Raw genomic sequence first — 19,883 nt, forward strand, 5'->3', positions numbered from 1 at the left:
CCATTATTTTTTCCCTCTTGCAACTAAGAGATGCTGCCCAAGCTGTGGGAAACAATTAGTAAGACAGAAATGAATTCCAGCACTTTCCAGCAAAAGTAAAAATTCTAGGGTAACACACCAATGGCCTTTCCAATGAAAACACAATACATTCTCCTACTGCAGAAAGCAAACCTTGATATGGTGTTGTGTGAGCAGTAAGAATCAGAGAAGTAGTTTTTACAGGAAGACAGAAAAATATCAGGGCTAGTTTGCAAAAATTTAATATACCATGTCAGAGTTGAGGAATAATGTGTACAGGTCACCATGACCTACTAGAGAGAGAGACAAAAGAGGAATGGAAAGGGGGAGGAGTTTATATTTTTGCAACCACAAAGGTGAGGTAAGCCAAAAACAAACGTGACATGAGGAGTGAAGAAGTCATCCACACAATGTGCAAACAAATGGAAAGCTGGGGCAGAGCTGTCAAGCATGAGCAAGAAGAAAAAGAACAGGCATCACCAATAGGTGATCAAACTGAAATAAACAAAAATAGGGAGAGAGAGAATAGGGAGGGAGGCACAGACCAGAAGATAGACAGCTGGAAAAAATGTGGCATACAACAGATCAAAGAACTCTGCCCAGGAGAAAAATGTAACCCAATGAATACGAAGAACATTATTCACAAATGCTTCAGGATTTGGAACTTACTGAGAATGTGAATAAAATAAACAAGAACTAAAAGACAAGATGAAAAAACAGGAGTGAATTTTATAAGGAGTCTAAAAATTAGTGACCAAACTTTTTACCATAAAACTAATAATTAAGAAACATAACAGTATAGTCATAATTGAAAAAAATACTATGACACAGAAGAACTAATCAGAGAATACAAAGATTAATGTAATCAGAAAAATAAACAGAATTGAAGAAAGATAATCCAACCTTAGGAAAATTGGTGTCCTTAAAATACAAAAAGAATGAAGACTAGCAAACAAACATGCAGACAGGAAGGAAGGAAGGTAGACTGCTTCCCTAGCAACCAGTCATAAGGATAGAGACAAAATTCAAAGCCATAAACTTCAAAAGAGATCTCCAAGAAAAGATAATACAGATTATGAAGCAGAATGGAGCAGCCTTATTTGGCAGGGCTCCTAACTTGATCTCACTTATCAGAAGCCACAGAGATGAACCCTAAAAAATAGAAAGCACACACACACACACACACACACACACACACACACACACACACACACACACACCTTGGCTTCTTCAAAAGCAGGGCCTGAGAAAAAGACTTGCAGGCAAGTAGTTTATTTGGGAGATGGTTCCTGAGGGCAGAAGTGATGAGAGAGAGGGAAGGAAGAAAACTTAATACAAGATTATGCCATCAAAGTCATTGCTATAAGCAATGGAGGCTTAATTTCCATGGTACCTCGTAAAATACATACATAGTGTCTACCAGAATTGTCTATCCAAAATAATTCCACCACACTGGAGCTATGTATGTGCTGGGACCAGCAGGCTCCAGAGAGGATGAGGTGCTATTAGCAATAAGTGAATGGAAGCACACACAAAACTGTTTACACCTGTGTAAATAGTTGTAAACCTGTATTTACAACTGTGGCAGCTGGAATCAGAGGTGTGACCAAGGTGATGGGAGACAGGGCACAATATAAACAATAAAGGGAAAAACTTCCACGAAATAAAGAACCAAATCTAAATTGTGGTACACTACTGCTATGGCACACCACTCAGCAATAAAATCAAAGAACTAGACCTCCATGCATCATTGTGGATAAATTTTTTTTTTTTTTGAGATGGAGTTTCGCTTTTGTCACCCAGGCTAGAGGGCAATGGTGTGATCGCTCACTGCAACCTCTGCCTCCTGGGTTCAAGGAATTCTCCTGCTTCAGCCTGGGATTACAGGCACCCACCATGCCCAGCTAATTTTTGTATTTTTAGCAGAGACAGGGTTTCACCATGTTGGCCAGACTAGTCTCGAACTCCTGACCTCAAGTGATCCACCCGCCTCGGCCTCCCAAAGTGCTGGGATTACAGGCGTGAGCCAATGCGCCCAGCTGGATAAGTCTTCTTTAAAAATTGAGTCAAACAAAAAAATCCAAGCTGCAGCTGCACAAAGATAATTACACTTTGATATAATTTATATAAAATTTAATAACTTGTAAAATAATACTATTTAGAGATACATTCATAGGTAATGAGTGACATTTACAGGTATAATAAACACAAATTTCTTTTTTTTTTTTTTTTTTTTGAGACGGAGTCTCGCTCTGTCGCCCAGGCTGGAGTGCAGTGGCGCGATCTCGGCTCACTGCAAGCTCCGCCTCCCGGGTTCACGCCATTCTCCTGCCTCAGCCTCCCGAGTAGCTGGGACTACAGGCGCCCGCTACCACGCCCGGCTAATTTTTTGTATTTTTAGTAGAGACGGGGTTTCACCGTGTTAGCCAGGATGGTCTCGATCTCCTGACCTCGTGATCCGCCCGCCTCGGCCTCCCAAAGTGCTGGGATTACAGGCGTGAGCCACCGCGCCCGGCCAACACAAATTTCAAGATAGACATTACCTATTGTGTAAGGTAAGAGTTTGCCAGAGATGGGTACTCTCGGGAATTTAAAAGTATTTGTAATATTTTATTTTCGAAGCTGGGTGTGGGGCATATAAGTATTAACTATATTCTTTTCTATGATTAACATATTTCAATTAAAAAAGAGAAACTGAATCTACATATCAAGATAAATTATATCAAGAAAATATACAGAAAATTCAACACAGATGTATGCTGGATAAGTTGCTAAATTTTGAAAATAAAGCACCCAATCAAGAAAACTCCATGGGAAATGAAATAAATGTACTTTACTTTGTAGTCACATTAAATCACAAAGATCATGATCTGGTCAAAGCAGATAATTTAACGGTGATATTATATAGGAATAGATTCATTCGATAAAGAAGTTGCAAAGTAGTGTGTTTCACCTGCTCAGTTGTTGTTTTTTAATTTGAATTAATTGACAACACAGGAAGATTGGAAAATTTTACAATTACACTGGGATTGCCCTACGCATTTGCATCCATGGTATCAGAAGAAAAAATGTGAGATAAGAACTAAACAATCAGTGTTATTCCTTTATTTCTAAAAGAAAGATTTTGACTCTTTTGTTGTTGTTGTTTTCTGAGACAGGGTCTCACTTTGTTGCCCAGGCTGGAATGCAGCAGTATGATGATGGCTCACTGCAGCCTCCAACTCCTGGGCTCAATCAGTCCTCCCACCCCAGCCTCCTGAGTAGCTGGGACTACAGGTGTACACCACCATGCCTGGCTAATTTTTTGTATTTTTTTGTGGAGACGGCATATCTCACCTTTGTTGTCCAGGCTGGTCTCAAACTCCTGGGTTCAAGCAATCATCCTGCCCTAGCCTCCCAAAGTGCTGGGATTATAGGTGTGAGCCACTGCACTCAGTCTTATTTCTAAACATGGTAATTTTCTAAAGATTAAGCCTCCTTTTGATATTTCTAGGATTACTTTTTCTGAGAAGTCATAATTTCTTAAATACAGCCAATTAAGCCATATATCAGGAAAAAGATTGGTGGTAAGCATCTTATCTGGTTCAACATAAAATGAACAGTAGAGGTTGTGCAGATATGGTTACTAAACAGACTATAAATGTTATAAACTTTGAGTGAGAAAGTTACCCAACATAAATTGGTAAAGGTGGAAGAAAATTATATCATTTGTGAGAGTGCCAATGTCTTCATCCCTTATGGTAGACGGTGATGCTGTCTAAATTTGAAACATGAAGATCTTTTTGTAAAAACACTACGAATTGTAATGTTTTTCACAATTTCTTTTCTTACTGTAAAAACCTCATTTAGGAAATACATCAATAATTTTTTGAACTGCACTTTGGTTTTTCACTGAATTCAAACAAAACTACTTTTAACATTTTTATTTAAAACAGCATTTCAGGCCAAGCGCGGTGGCTCATGCCTGTAATCCGAATACTTTGGGAGGTCGAGGTGCAGGATCACTTGAGGCCAGAAGTTCGAGACCAGCCTGGGGCAACATAGCGAGACCCCCCCCCCCGCCATCTCTATTTAAAAATAAAAATAATAAAAACAAAACAGCATTTCAGTAATGAGCACATGAGGAATAATAGTACTATTTTACTTTTCAATATGTTGGACATTTTTCCATTGTAAAACTTAAAAATAACACTCTGAAAATAAAAACTCATTATAATACAGCCTGGATTTTGTAAAAAGCATATTTATCCAGTTTTCCTTCCTATTTTCCTTCCTTTTTTCTGCCTGTATATCTGCATAGAAATATACCTAAAAATAAAAGTCAGTGTTGATGATTTATGGGGTAGTTTAAAAAATTCTTTGCATCCTTTTGTATTGCTTAATTATTTAAAATGAGCAGGCATTATTTTGCAAAAATGAGAACTTTTCGCTTACCAAACCACAACTTTATAAAAGTATGTTTAAGGAATTCCTGTTGAATGTTAAGCAGTATGGCTCAGACACGTACTGTTTACTAACTCCACATGGTGCTAAGCCTAGGATGGTGGTGAGGCGGGGAGAGGTATTCAAAATACCCCACCCTGAGATATTCTAAAATAACATAATAATGACTAATATTGGCTGGACGCAGTGGCTTGCGCCTGTAATCCCAGCACTTTGGGAGGCCGAGGCAGGCAGATCACCTGAGGTCAGGAGATCAAGACCAGCCTGGCCAACATGGCAAAACCCTGTCTCTGCTAAAAACACAAAAAATTAGCCAGGCGTGGTGGCTGGTGCCTGTAGTCCCAGCTACTCAGGAAGCTGAGGCAGGAGAATCACTTGAACCTGGGAGGCAGAGGTTGCAGTGAGCTGAGATCGCACCACTGCACTCCAGCCTGGAGACAGAGCGAGAGACTGTCTCAAAAAAAAAAAAAAAAAAAAAAAAAAGACTAATATTTACTGATACTGAATACATACAATATACCAAACACAATTCTCAGCACTCCATATGTATTAATACCTTGCATCCTGATGACACATCTATACGGTAGCTAAATAATTTTCCAGATTTTACAGACGAGGTGAAGAAAACTTAAAAATCTATCAGAGGAGAAGCTGGATTTAAACCTGAGTCTTCCATGGTCAATGTTCTTAGTCACTACACCAGCAGTTCCAATACTTTGCCGTATATGGGAATGACCACCGGAAATCTTCAGGAAAACCCGCCTGGCTCCCATGTGCAAATATTTTGATTTAATTAGTACAACGTGGGCTCTGGGCAGAAGGATGTAAAACATTCCCCAGGTGATCTAATGTGCAGAGAGACCACTGTACTACACCTTTCTGCCCCTGGGTAGCCGTTCGGTAGTGGTTATCAAGCTCGGATGAACATCTGAATCACCTGATAATTTTTATAACTTCTAGGCCGATGCCCAACCTCAGGCTAAAGGGCCTGGGCTTAAGCAGTTTTAAATGCTTCTCAGGTGATTCAAGTCTGCAGCTAGTGTTTAAGAACCACGGCTTAGGGAGAGAGCAGTTGCCTCCCATTTTAACAATGCCCAAAGTAGTGAATGTTTTTAATTAGAGGTTTATCTTTCTCTCAAATGGGTGCAGCATAAAAAAAAAAGAGAGAGAGAGAGAAAATAAAACAAATTGAGAGCCACCGAGCATAGAGCATGTTTTTTTTTTTTTTTTTTTTTTTTTTTTTTGAGACAGAGTCTCGCTCTGTCGCCAGGCTGGAGTGCAGTGATGCAATCTCTGCCCACTGCAAACTCCGCCTCCCGGGCTCAAGCGATTCTCCTGTCTCAGCCTCCCGAGTACCTGGGACTACAGCCTCAGCCTGGGATTACAGGCACCCACTATGCCCAGCTAATTTTTGTATTTTTAGTAGAGACGGGGTTTCGCCATGTTGCTGGATGGTCTTGATCTCTTGACCTCGTGATCCACCCGCCTCCACCTCCCAAAGTGCTGGGATTACAGGTGCGAGCCACCGCCCCAGGCTTGGAGCATGGTTTTAAGTTCACTTGTATTCTCACAGGTTTAGAATTATTCTGGGAGTAATACGACTTTCTTCAACTGTCTCTGAGATTGGATTTGGAGCTTTCTTGGATCAGAATGTGACCAATGGGTTTGCTTAGCTTCAGGGTTTATTTTCTTTTGCTCCCTTCGGGTAGGGCTGTTTCACCTGGCATTGGGCTTCATCTAGGACTAGCACAAGCGAAAAGAAGGTCTACTGATAACTATCTTCTTTAGGCCTCAAAGTAATAAAAGTTTCACAGAATAAAATATCCTAAAAAGGTTACACAATGCGAACCAAATAATAAAAGACTGACAGTAAACCTGAAAATTTTAACAGAGAAATAACATCCACAAAATTAGGCACAGTCCTTGAGAAGTAAACTAAACAACACATTGAATGAGGAGCAAATCTGAGGTTGAAAGCAAGAAGCACTTCTTGCCAGGTGCAGTTGCTCATGCCTGTAATTCCAGCACTTTGGGAGGTTGAGGCGGGTGGATTACCTGAGGTCAGGAATTTGAGAGTGAAACCCTGTCTCAAAAAAAAAAAAAGGACTTTTTTTTATTTTTCAGATTTTTGTAGAGATGAAGTCTCACTATATCTCAGTATATTGCCCAGGGTGGTCTTGAACTGGACTCAAGCAATCCTCCCACCTCAGCCTCCCAAAGCGCTGAAATTACAGACATTGGCCACTGCACCTGGCCTTTTATTTATTTATTTATTTGCTTACTTATTTTTAAGAGGAAGCACTTAAGGGAATATCAAGTGAAAATTCACAACTGCCAGATCTCGTTTGAGAACCTAAGATCAGAGATTCTAATATGTAATATAAGAATGGCTAATATGTAGTGAGTGCTTACAATGTACCAAGCACAATTCTAAACTTTAGATTTAGGAACCTAGTATCAGAGATTCTAATATAATAGAATCTTTGGCTCCAGAGCATTCACTAGGAAAGCACATCAATCAATTAGCTTGTCAGCAGTCCTCAACCATTTATTTTTCTGATACAATGGCAAATATGATTCTTACCGCTAGTACTCAGATAACTGAGCACAAAGTCAAAAAATATTCTCAGTCTGGCTCTAGATAGGTACTAAATTCAGCTAGGAGCTAAACTTGCCAGGTTCAGGATCAAAATCTGTGAAAATTGCATAAAAACCTAATTTTGCTAATGAAAAAGGGATCCATATCTTTAGCAACCAGACATTCAGGTGGCAAAACTGACATCATCTTATGAAGATTAGCTCTGTATTTTTATCCACATTAACATAATCTATAGGCCATGAGTCTAAAAAGGCAATTACCCCAGTTGTTCCTCACTTCTGATTCTCCAACACTACCAAGTCAGGCACTGTAGGTTTGCCACCAAGACCAGTGCAGAAGCCCTCCCAAATTTGCAGAAATTTTCCTCAGGAACAGGTCTGCATTAGTTTCAAGACACAAACAAGAAGCAAACAAAGTAAGAATTAAAACTTTGGGGCTTAGAAGAGAATATCCCAAACAATTTGGAAGGCAAATTATGACTATAATAAATTTAGCATGGTTCTTTTTAAAAATTAAGTTCCGGGGTACATGTGCAGGATGTGCAGGTTACATAGACAAATGTGTGCCATGGTGGTTTGCTGCACCTATCAACCCATCACCTAGGTATTAAGCACCACAAGCATTAGCTATTTTTCCTAAAGCTCTCACTCTTCCCACCCCACCCCCAACAAACGCTGGTGTGTGTTCTTCCCCTCCCCATGGCCATGTGTTCTCATTGTTCAGCTCACACTTACAAGGGACAATGTGCAGTGTTTGGTTTTTTGTTCCTGCATTAGTTTGCTGAGAATAATGGTTTCTGGCTCCATTCATGTCCCTGCAAAGGACATGATCTCGTTCCTTTTTACGGTTGCACAGTATTCCATGGTGTATATGTACCAACCACATTTTCTTTATCCAGTCTATCATTGATGGGCATTTGGGTTGATTCCATGTCTTTGCTATTGTGAATAGTGCTGCAGTGAACATCCACATGCATGTATCTTTGTAGCAGAATGATTTATATTCCTTTGGGTATATACCCTGCAATGGGATTGCTGGGCCAGATGATATTTCTGGTACTAGATCTTTGAGGAACCATGACACTGTCTTCCACAATGGCTGAACTAATTTACATTTCCACCAACAGTGTAAAAGTGTTCCTATTTCTCCACAATCTCACCAGCATCTGTTGTTTCTTGATTTTTTAATGATCACCATTCTGACTGGCATGAGATGGTATCTCATTGTGGTTTTGATTTACAGTTCTCTAACGATCAGTGATGTTGAGCTTTTTTTCGAATGTTTGTGGCCACATAAATGTCTTCTTCTGAGAAGTGTCTGTTCATGTCCTTTGCCCACTTTTTAATGGGGTTGTTTTAAGTTCCTTGTAGGTTCTGGATATTAGACCTTTGTCAGATAGATTGTGAAAATTCTATGCTACTCTGTAGGTTGCCTGTTTGCTCTGATGATAGTTTTTTTGTTTGTTTTTTGCTATAGTATGGTTATTATTATACAACTTGTGCTTCTAAGCAGAATGGAATGCTGGTGGGTCTGTGAGAATAGATTGGAAGCAAAGAACAGTACAAACGTAGATAATTCAGTCAGTCCTGCTGTTTACCTTAATGTGGATGAATATCTGCCCAACATACATATTGCACCTCAGGACTAAATGACAACAATTAGACAACTAGTTTAATTGCTTCTTGAGGCCACACCTGAAATTTGATAATAAACTCATCAGCAGAGTCAAGAAAGCCGGTCTTCCTGCTCACCATTAGCAGGGTAGCTCCTCTATCAAGCTATGCAGATGTAAGTTAATAACGAGAGCGTAAAGCTACTTAAAATGTACCAGTTACAAGAAACTAAATGCAATTTGTGATCCTATATGGGGAAAAAAATCAACAAGACTGGAATATGGACTGTAAGTTAAAGCATTTTATCAATATTATATGAATCTGATAACTGTACTATGGTCATGTAAAACAAGCCTTGTTCTTAGGAAATAAACAATTACATATTAAGAGGTAAAGGAGCATTATGTATGAAACCTACTCTCAAATGACACAGGAAAAAGTTATACAGAACGATGAAGGAAATGTGGCAAAATGTTAATAACTGCTGAATCTAGATAAAGAGGATATGGAGTTGTTGGTACTATTATCACAACTTTTTATAAGTCTGAAATTATTTCAAAATTAAAAGTATACAAAATTAAAATGAACTAGCTGAGCCAGGAATGGTGGCTCTTGCCTGTAATCCCAGCACTTTGCGAGGCCGAAGCATGCAGATCACCTGAGGTCGGGAGTTTGAGACCAGACTGACCAAAATGGAGAAACCCCATCTCTACTAAAAATACAAAATTAGCTGGGTGTGGTGGCATATACCTGTAATCCCAGCTACCTGGGAGGCTGAGGCAGGAGAATCGCTTGAACCTGGGAGGTGGAGGTTGCGGTGAGCCGAGATTGTGCCATTGCACTCCAGCCTGGGCAACAAGAACAAAACTGCGTCTCAAAAAAAAAAAAAACAGAACCAGCTGAATTTAAGTTTAATGAGCAAAATGAAAAGCAAGTAAGAAAGGGAGACAAATCTACATTCCATCATTATTTCGGAGCCAGACACGTACTGGCCATTTTACAAATTTAACTCTACATATAGAATACAAAGAATTCTGGCTTTGAGGCAAATAGCTAGGTTAGTAGTTCAACTCTAGAATTTTATAGCTGAGTGACCTTAGGTTATTCCTTTCATGTTCCTGAATCTCAGTGTCCTTTTCTGTAAAATAAGGATACAATACAAATAGCAATGGCATGACTGAGATGATGAAATGAAAATTTCAAGTACTGTACATTGTATGTGTACCACTAAGCACAATATACCACTGTGCTTAGTGTTGAGCGACAAATCCTCGTGGGACTCCAACATTTCTGCGTATGTAAACAAGACACAAATTGCCTTTGTTCTGGACTATCTTTCAAGGATACAGATTTGTAAGATAAAGATGGTTCCTCACTCCAGAGCAAAGGGCAGGCATGCTTACTGCCCATTATAAAAGACTCAAGGTTTCTCTCCTGTAACACAGTACACAGCTTATATAGAGGTATTATCTTCACATTGCGGCATGGGAAGAAAAAGAACTTGGGAAATTGACACACAAAATATGTTGATACTGTGGCTACTGCTATTGCTATGAATAGTAAAATCCTTTTCCCTCATTCAGGGGTCTGATGTTTTCTGCTACCATCCATGGAACAGTGGTAGAAACTTAAGAGGGTAAAATCACAGACCCTTTGCAACTCCTGACATTAAGCACTGTTATCTTTATCTCATTACATTTTATTAATAGCCCTATAAAGCAAAGCAAAATACGGCACCGTACAAGTGAGGTATCCCATAAATAGTAGTTATTATAATCTTCAACATCATTATTAATCCTTGCAGCAATCCTGTAAACTTGGAATCAAAACCATCATCTTACAGCTGACTTGCCAAGAGTTAGTTACACAAATAGTGAAGCTAGAATTCTAATCCTTCCCACCATTATTAAGTGCTCCATGGTAAGCAGGTCTATACAAATCTACCCTCAAAAGACTGAGGATGCTGAGAGACTGAAGAAAGCAGCTGACAAACCCAGCTTCTCAGAAAGAAACATTTAATATGGATTTATGAACAGAAGTCATATCTCAGGAAGCTAAGAGACAAGATGATGAATCCTTGTGCAGTTATCTACCCCAAGACCCAGGGCTTCTCTATGGTATATACCATAGAGAAGGGGTAACCATGCTTCAGAAGGGATGTCTAAGACAACCGAAGTCAACCCCTTAGAAAAAATCAAGAATGCTATGTCATAGCCTATCATTTGCTTAAGGGCAAGAATTATAAATCCTGTCCTTAAGTACTATAAACAGTAAATAAAATAGAAATCCTGCCCTTAAGTACTATAAACAGTAGATAAAATAGAAATCTTACAGGTATTCCTGGAACTGGGGATAATCAAAAGTCAACATGGCAGATTAGCATCCAAGATGGAGTTCCTTTAGCCACCACACCACGTCATCTCCATAGATTTAAAATTATGAACTCATTCAGTGAAGCTGCATATTTTATATGAGATCACAACAGAGATACTCAGGTATTCATTCTTCAAATACACATTAAACACTTATGTTTCGGGCACTTTGCTGGTGCTGAGGAAATAAGAGTGAATAAGACATGTTCTGTCTTCATGAAGCTTATAGAGGAAACAGACACTAAAACAAGTAAAACAAAACAATTACTCTTATTATTGTCATCATAGAAGCAAACAAGGGACTAAGAGAACTAGAGGACACACTTTTCAAATTATAGGTTGCCAGTTAGAAATAAATTCCTTTGCCTGGCGCGGTGGCTCACGCCTGTAATCCCGGCACTTTGGGAGGCTGAGATGGGTGGATCATGAGGTCAGGAGATCGAGACCATCCTGGCTAACACGGTGAAACCCCGTCTCTACTAAAAATACAAAAAAATTTAGCCGGGTGTGGTGGCGGGCACCTGTAGTCCCAGCTACTCGGGAGGCTGAGGTGGGAGAATGGCGTGAACCCAGGAGGCGGAGCTTGCAGTGAGCAGAGATCACGCCATTGCACTCTAGCCCGGACGACTGAGCAAGACTCCATCTCAAAATAAATAAATAAATAAATAAAAATAAAAATAAATTCTGTTGAGTCCCAACCACCAGTCTTAAAAAATACGTATAAAACAGGACAGAATACAGTATAAATAAGTATTGTTTCATGAAACTTTCATCGTGCATAAAGAGTGATAGTATAAAATGCATTTCTTTTAGGCACAAGGAATAATCTACGCAATGGGAATGGAAAGACCCTGCTATGTTAGAAAAACAAATTAACATTGTAGCTAGGTTCCTACAAAAATGATAGAATGGGGCATGAATGGAAGTTGAAGAAGTTAAGGTTCTGGTAGAGACTCGTGCAACAAAGAAAGATAAGTGATATGATTTGATTCACAATTTAGATGTCACCTTTCTTGATACATGGAGAATGAACTGGAGGGAGGGCAAGAATGGAAACAAACACCCCATCAGAAGGCTGTTGTAAGCAGTCAATATAGGTGATAATGGGGGCTTGGTGTGGAATAGAGAAAGGAGAGGGGGAGGCAGCAGCAATAGTGTAGATGGATTCAAGATATAAAGATAAAATCAACAGGACTTGCTGAAGAAAGGAATCCAAATATTGTGATTCTATGTACATATCATGCTTTCCAGATGTCTGTGTCTATGCACATCCTCCTCTTGCAATACCTGACCTCTCCCCAAGCTCTCACTCTATTTACTTGGCACACTCCTACCCATATCCCTTTCAAAACTGAGACCTAACATCACCTTTCTACAAAACTTTGTCTGACCCTTAGGAGCTTTCAAGTTCCCTTGGCACTTTGCACATGCTTCTAATACAGTGATTACAGGCTGCAATGCAATTACCGGTTTACATCGTTTTCCAAGCATGTCTGAGGCCATTTCAGGGCAGAAACTATTTTCCGTTCACTTTTAGCCTTGGGACTGATGACAGTGCTTAGAAAACTGTCGACTAATTAATCAAAGTTAGCTAAATGCATTTGCCATTGCACGTTACACATTCCTTCATTCCTAAACTATTATAGCAAAACGATGCTCATTCGCAAAGGTATTAAATACAGGCTGGGTATCCTTGGGACCACAAGTGTTTCAACTTTTGAATTTTTTCAGATTTTGGAATATTGGCTTTATACTTACCTGTTGAGCATCCCTAAACTGAAAATCTGTGGGGTTGGTTATTTATTTATTTATTTATTTATTTATTTATTTATTTATTTTTTGAGACAGGGTCTTGCTTTACCACCCACGCTGGAGTTCAGTGGCACAATCTTGGCTCATTGCAACCTCCACCTCTCAGGTTCAAGTGATCCTTCCACCTCAGCCTCCCAAGTATCTGGGATTACAGGAGGGTGCCACCATGCCCAACTAATTTTCTAATTAGTTTCCCAGGCTGGTCTTGAACTCTTGGGCTCAAGTGATCTGCCTGTCTCAGTCTCTCCAAGTGCTGGGGTTATAGGCATGAGCCACCATACCCAGCTCCTAATCTGAAAATCTGGAATTCTCCAATGAACATTTCCAATTTCCAATTGAGCTCCAATGAACTCAATGAACATTGAGTCTCATGTCAGCACTCAAAAAGTTTCAAATTTTGGAGCATTTCAGATTTCCAGCTTAGGGATGCTCAAACTGTACGGAACATGTTTTTTCTTTGCTCTTTTTTCCCCATGTCCTAACGTATTGAAAATATTATTATTTATCCTCAAGTTTCAGATCATTCCCCAATGACTCTATATTCAGAGAAATACATATATATCTGCATAATTTACACTGCTGTATAAATCCATTAGATTCTGTTCAATGATTGGACTGTGCTTCTTGCTTTCACAAAGAGCACAGTATATAGGAAAGATCTAATTTTAAAGTTAGAGTTCTGTTCATAAACCAACTCTACAATGTATTGATGATGTGGCTTTGGGTAAGTTATTTAATCTCTGTGGATCTCAACTGACTCAATTATATAATAAGGTTAATACTTCTATATCACAGGGTTGCCATGAGCTTAAATGTGAATGTGTAGTAACTAGCACAAATATATACTCAATATATTAGTTCTTGTTTCTCCAACTTATCTTTTTCTTTTTTTTGAGACAGGGACTCACTTTGTCCCCCAGGCTGAAGTGCAGCGGTGCAATCAAAGCTTGCTAGTTTCAGCCACCTGGGCCCAAACGATCCTCCCACCTCAGCTTCCCAAGCAGCTGGGACCACAGGTGTGTGCCACTACACCTAAGTTTTGTTTTTTATTTCTTTATAGAGATGGGGGTCTCCCTATGTTGCCCAGGCTGGTCTTGAACGTCTCAGTTCAAGGGATCCTCCCACCTCGGCCTCTCAAAGTTCTGGGATTACAAGTGTGAGCCACCATGCCTGGTCCAATTTACAGTCTTTACAAAGAACACAGCCTTTGCAAAACTAAACACAATTTGTTTCTCATCATGGCACTATCTTTACTTAAGGGCTAAGAATGGAAAACGTCCACCCTTACACACAGCTTAGATACTAAGGTCCAAAACTACCTTCCCTGATATGGTTTACTGTCTACATTAACATGAATTTATTATTTTTTGTCTTCATTAGCATAACTTTACTGTTCTAGAAGACTTCTGCCCAAATAACTTAATCATTCATTATAAGAACTTCATGAGAAATCTATTAGCTTTTCACGTTTTTTATTTTTATTTTTTGTTTACAGGGTCTCGCTCTGTCACCCACCCTGGAGTGCAGTGGCACAATCATAGCTCACTGTAGCTTCAAACTCGTGGGTCCGTCCAAGTGATCCTCCAGACTCAGCCTTTCAAGCAGCTAGGACTACAGAGGTGCACCATCATGCCTGGCTACTTTTTAAAAAAAATTTTGTTGAGACGGGGTCTACCTATGTTGTCCACGCTGGTCTCGAACTCCTGGGCTCAAGCCATCCTCCCACCTTGGCCTCCCAAAGTGCTGGGATTATAGGCATGAACCACATGCCAGGCCTATTAGTTCTTCCAATAGAAAACCTCAATAGTTTATGCCTTAAGGCTTCTTGCACTCTTTGCTTTTCCTATCAATCTTAAACCGCTGTATCAGATCAGAGTCCAACCCTAATCAAGCCATCTTCCTCCAACACCCTCCTACCCTCTCCCTCTGAAAGACCAGCCTTAAGCCATACCCATCAGTAAAATCTGACCTTGCTTTCCCAGTTTAATACACTACCAAAGCTCTCAGTGGTGTTCTTCCTTATCCCAGTGAGCAATAAATTCAGCTGTCTTAACAAAATGTCATGTTGGTGATATTTGGCGAATTATCACCGGACAGGGCAGTACATCTATAAACATAAAGACAAGGCAGAGGGATTTCCCCACAAATGTCTAGAAATACTGTAAAAATGAGCCAAGATAAATTATACACCAGGCTAATTACGTCCACTAGTACATCCATTAATCAGAAGGAAATGGGTTAGCCAAGACCACAATAGAAAGTTTCCTTGCAAGGGTGGCCAATGAGTCTTAAAAATTCTTTTTGATTAATTCCACATTTATACTGCAATTTTGCCCAGCGCGGTGGCTCAGGCCTGTAATCCCGGCTCTTAGGGAAGCAGAGGAGGGAGGACAGCTTGAGCCCAGGAGTTTGAGGCCTGCCTGGGCAATACGGCGAGACCCCGTTCTCCACAAAAAGGAAAAACAAAACAAAGCAATTATATTGCAATTTTGTAAGCCCTTCCTCACAACAGAGCTGTTCAAATACGACCCTGAACCAAGAAAAACTGAGTCTCAGATAGCTCTTATATCTTTGGGCGTTACCAAAAACAATTCTAGGGTAGGCTGCCTAAGTGACTGCAAGAGAAATAAGCAGCTTTAAAATGAGGTCCTTCTGAAGAACAATCCAGATCCATCATCAATGTCACTAAAGTGTAAAGAACACTAACTTCTATGGGGTCTAATCATGGTCTAATGACTTGCCGCCACCCAGGTAAAGCATTCATAGCTGTGGGGTGGGAAGGAGAGAAGAAAGCACCAGGTACCTTTCAAAGTTTACTTTTCACCGAGACAAACTGATCCCAGCCGACGCTCCACAGGACTTCTGAAGCTCCACCAGCTCCAGAGAAGGGGGAGGAGGTGGTAGAAACTAACAGGATTCCGTGGGACCCACCCTCCAGCTGACTGAGGACTGGCCCGCAGCGGTGAAAGGCCTTTGGGGTCCCTAGCTCCTCAGGGACTCCTCTGCGCGCTCCGGGATCCATACCTGGCAAGCAATAGCGCGGCGAAAGCCGCACGCCATGTCCACCTCTACGGAAGTGCGCCGCAGTCCGCCAGTTCCGGCCTCGCCCCACCTCCTTATACGACCCGCCTCCCCGCGCCGGAAACCCGCCCCGGAGGGTGATGCCAGCCAATCAAGGAGCCGTGTGGCTCGCCACTAACCTCTGCCCTGCAGCCGCGAGGGCGCGCGGGAAATCCCGAGTGCATCTGGAATACGCAGAGTCAGTAAGACCATGGCTACGTCCTCGATGTCTAAGGTATGTGGTGGCCGATGCGCACTGTGGCTCTACCGCTGCCTCATTCCCCTTTGAAGAAGGGATGAAGCCGAGGTTACGTAGGCATCCCTTCCCTGGCTGGAGAGGAGGGAGGGAGCGGCGTACTGAGCTGAGGCGTCCTTGCTCCAGATCAGTTGAGGCCAACTTTGCTTGGGGAGCGAGGACGCGGATCTGCCTTGTGGTATGGCTAGGAGGATTTTTAAGTTCTGGTTGGTGGAGGTCGGATGTCCTGATGATGTGGCCCAGTCTCTCATTTTTCCATCTCACAAATACTGTGCGCCAAGCACTCCGTTAGGTACCAAGATGCAGTGGTAAACAAAACAGATTCAGTTTCTGCAGTCAAGAAAGTCGGTAAACATAGATAAACTGACGATCACAAATTTTAAGTGTTAGCAAGGAAAAGAGTTCTAGGCAGACAACAGAAGAGTGGGAAGAACCTAATATAGGTTGTCGGGGGTTAGCGGAGGCTTTTTGGAGAAAGTGACCCTTTCGCTGAGACCTGAAAAATGAGTAGAAGTTAGGTTAAGGATTAGGGCGAGGAGGGCAGAGAGAACAGCATGTTTCTTCGGCCCAGAAGATAGAAATAAAATGGCATATTAGAGGAATTTAAAAATCATAATCAGAAAGTAGACAAAGAGTGGGAGCGTCATGAAAAATGAGAATGAAAAAGTAATGTGGATGCGGGTGTGTGTGGTGGGATATCTTATAGACCTCCTCATGTTGGCTACCTAGATGGCAAGAAATTGCAAGACATAGTGTAGTTGGTAAGAAGATAAGCCCTAGAGCTGTATTGTCCAATGTGTTAGTCACTCACCACATGTGGCTATTTAAATTTGAGTTAAAATAAAGTAAGATTAAATAAAAATTCAGTTTCTCCGTTGCACTAACCACATTTCAAGTGCTCAATCATCACATGTGGCTGCAGCTACCATTTTAGATAGTGCAGATATAGGACATTTCTATCATTACAGAAAGTTCTGTTGGACAGCGCTGTTCTGGACCACAAAAAGTAAGACCTTGAGTTCTATTGTAAGTGCAGCGGGAAGCCCCTGAAGTTAAGCTGTCTGAGAAAGCTGAAAAATGCACATGAAGAAGCTACATTCTCCCTATGTTAAAACAATGGATTGATGAAGAAGGCTATGTCATGGATCTGATTTTTTATTTTGATTAAAACGGTTTATGAGAAGCAGTGCTTTTAAAGACTACATCTCAAGGAAAAAGGACAAGCCCTGGGGTTTAAGGTTATGCTAGTAGAGATTCAAAGGTAGTATTTTTATTAGAAATGGTACTGGTTTTATTTTGTCCTGGTTATAATGTTCTGTAGGTTTTGAATGGTCTATCCCTTAATCCTGTTGATTGCATAAGCACCTCTTATTTTTATGTATCTTGCAGAAAGTAAGATTTTTCAGGAAAGCATTTTTGGTATTATAACAAATGTCTGTATTGGGATGAGACCTTACATGAATAAGAAGCTTTAAGAACTATTTCATGAATTTATGGAACTGCAAGCTTTTTTTCTTTTTCTTTTCTTTTTTTTCTTGAGACAGAGTCTTGCTCTGTTACCAGGCTGGAGTGCAGTGGCGCGATCTCGGCTCACTGCAACCTCCACCTCCCCGATTCAAGCTATTCTCCCACCTCAGCCTCCCGGGCAGTTGGGATTACAGACATGCCCCACTACACCCAGCTAATTTTGTATTTTTAGAAGAGACAGGGTTTCACCATGTTGGCCAGGCGGGTCTCGAACTCCTGACCTCGAGTGATCCGCCAGCCTCGGCCTCCCAAAGTGCTAGGATTACAGGCGTGAGCCACCACGCCCGGTCCTTAAACATATCAAAACATTTTAGTGTCTCTTTCATCGTGAAATTTTCTGGCTGTTGGCCTTCCTCTATCTCAAACACCATCACTTGACCAGCAGTTCCAAATGGTTAACCATGTTACTACCACTGCCCTATATTAAGATCCTTTCTGATCACTCCTCATGTCTTGCTCCTTTGAAGCTCCTTTTTCCTTTACTGAATTGCAGGTGGATTTGGAAAGGAGGTAATGACAGGTTTGTCATGGTATCACATGATTTTTCTAAATATGTATGTGATTTCGCACACTTCTGCTAGTTGCAGATATAAGAATATAAGGCACAGGGCTGTGTGCAGTGGCTCATGCCTGTAATCCCAACACTTTGGGAGGCCGAGGTGGGTGGATCATCTGAGGTCAGGAGTTCGAGACCAACCTGACCAACATGGTGAAACCACATCTGTACTAAAATACAAAATTAGCCTGGCATGTTGGTGGGCGCCTGTAATCCCAGCCTCTCAGGAGGCTGAGGCAGGAGAATCGCCTGAACCCGGGAGGTAGAGGTTACAGTGAGCCAAGATTGTGCCATTGCACTCTAGCCTGGGCAACAGAGGGAGACTCTGTCTCAACAATAGCAGAAAAAAGAATCTAAGGCACAGTTCTTAAATGGGAACATGTAATCCAAATGGCTACTTTATAGTTGCACAGCGGTCTTTAACACTATCCTGAGACAACTTTTCCTAGGTATCGTTCTTTCATTCTGTCTTTTATTTTCCATAGAAATCGAAATATTTAAGAAGTTATCCATCAGGCCGGGTGCAGTGGCTCATGCCTCTAATCCCAGCACTTTGGGAGGCCGAGGCGGATGGATCACGAGATCAGGAGTGCGAGACCAGCCTGGCCAACATAGTGAAACCCCGTCTCTACTAAAAATACAATAAATTAGCCAGGCATGGTGGTGGGCACCTGTCATCCCAGCTACTCAGGAGGCTGAGGCAGGAGAATGGCTTGAACCCGGGAGGCAAAGGTTGCAGTGAGCCAGGATCGCACCATTGCACTCCAGCCTGGACGACAGAGCGAGACTCTGTCTCAAAAAAACAAACAAACAAACAAAAAAAAACTATAAGCTATCCATCATGTATGACTTTAGAATTGGTAGAATAGACTAGGACCACTAACTTGGGGGTGATCTACCACTGGTCAAACAATAATATGAAACTAAACATAGCTGGGAAATTACCAGGACAGTTATTTGGCAAGCATTTATTCATTCCATATTCTGATTGCCTAATATGTATGTTAGCACTATTCCAAACATTGGAGAAACAATTATAAATAAAATACAGTTTGTGCTTGAAGGCACTCACAGTCTACTCAGGGAGACACACCCATAAACAACTACGATATACAATTAAAGTGACTTAAAACAATGCAAAATAAAGATGTTCAAGTACTGAGAGATCTCGAGGAAAGGAGAATTTCTGGCTAGAGAATTGTGAAAGGTTTCCTGAAGGAGATGAGTGTTGAGTCAAACTTTAATGGATAAATGAGTAGGCATTTATCAGATGAAGAGAAGTATGTAGAGTGAAACAGCTGCAATTATCTATTTACTACTAAGGTTATAGATACTTCGAGTTTAAATAAGTTTCGGGTTGGGAGAACATCACTATTTTCAACCTTTTTAATCTTCATTTTTATTTATTTATTTTTTGAGACAGAGCTTCGCTCTTTGTTGCCCAGGCTGGAGTGCAATGGCACGATCTCAGCCCACTGCAGCCTCCATCTCCAGGGTTCAAGTGATTCTTCTGTCTGAGCCTCCCGAGTAGCTGGGATTACAGGCTCACACCAACACGCCTGGCTAATTTTTGCATTTTTAGTAGAGACAGGATTTCACCATGTTGGCCAGGCTGGTCTCAAACTCC

At 41.0% G+C, this 19,883-nt stretch overlaps 2 protein-coding genes across 50 annotated transcripts in view, besides 4 other annotated features; one reads left to right on the plus strand and one right to left on the minus strand.

The window, feature by feature from the left end:
• RARS2 (arginyl-tRNA synthetase 2, mitochondrial) overlaps positions 1-15,947 on the minus strand; it is a 76,050-nt gene extending 60,103 nt beyond the window's left edge. For 25 of the 37 annotated variants that reach the window (NR_146741.2, NR_146757.2, NR_146758.2 and 22 more), the window contains exon 1: positions 15,661-15,947. Coding sequence is in view for 4 of the 37 variants with exons in the window: in NM_001350505.2 (NP_001337434.1) it covers positions 15,882-15,917 (36 nt within the window). In the remaining 33 variants the exon portion in view is untranslated. Of the gene's footprint in view, positions 1-9,423; positions 9,547-11,005; positions 11,224-15,660 lie in introns of those variants that run through there. The other 12 variants (NR_146747.2, NR_134857.2, NR_146756.2 and 9 more) reach the window with 5 other exon arrangements.
• Positions 15,077-16,038: an enhancer, noted in NCBI's record as "H3K27ac hESC enhancer chr6:88298835-88299796 (GRCh37/hg19 assembly coordinates)". NCBI's record gives its function as "activates a minimal SCP1, AML or CMV promoter by ChIP-STARR-seq in primed H9 embryonic stem cells {active_cell/tissue: H9 hESC(primed)}" and the evidence as "EXISTENCE:reporter gene assay evidence [ECO:0000049][PMID:30033119]".
• Positions 15,802-16,031: an enhancer, noted in NCBI's record as "active region_24798". NCBI's record gives its function as "activates an Ori minimal core promoter by ATAC-STARR-seq in GM12878 lymphoblastoid cells {active_cell/tissue: GM12878}" and the evidence as "EXISTENCE:reporter gene assay evidence [ECO:0000049][PMID:35858748]".
• Positions 16,095-19,883, plus strand: part of ORC3 (origin recognition complex subunit 3) — an 87,689-nt gene continuing 83,900 nt past the window's right edge. For all 13 annotated transcript variants that reach the window (XM_017010632.3, XM_017010633.3, XM_047418550.1 and 10 more), the window contains exon 1: positions 16,095-16,152. In XM_017010632.3, coding sequence (XP_016866121.1) covers positions 16,129-16,152 — 24 coding nt within the window. In that variant the 5' untranslated portion in view covers positions 16,095-16,128. The remainder of the gene's footprint in view (positions 16,153-19,883) is intronic.
• Positions 17,412-17,912: an enhancer, noted in NCBI's record as "H3K4me1 hESC enhancer chr6:88301170-88301670 (GRCh37/hg19 assembly coordinates)". NCBI's record gives its function as "activates a minimal SCP1, AML or CMV promoter by ChIP-STARR-seq in naive H9 embryonic stem cells {active_cell/tissue: H9 hESC(naive)}" and the evidence as "EXISTENCE:reporter gene assay evidence [ECO:0000049][PMID:30033119]".
• Positions 17,913-18,413: an enhancer, noted in NCBI's record as "H3K4me1 hESC enhancer chr6:88301671-88302171 (GRCh37/hg19 assembly coordinates)". NCBI's record gives its function as "activates a minimal SCP1, AML or CMV promoter by ChIP-STARR-seq in naive H9 embryonic stem cells {active_cell/tissue: H9 hESC(naive)}" and the evidence as "EXISTENCE:reporter gene assay evidence [ECO:0000049][PMID:30033119]".

Source organism: Homo sapiens, chromosome 6 (assembly GCF_000001405.40).
Source record: "Homo sapiens chromosome 6, GRCh38.p14 Primary Assembly".
NCBI lineage: Eukaryota > Metazoa > Chordata > Mammalia > Primates > Hominidae > Homo > Homo sapiens.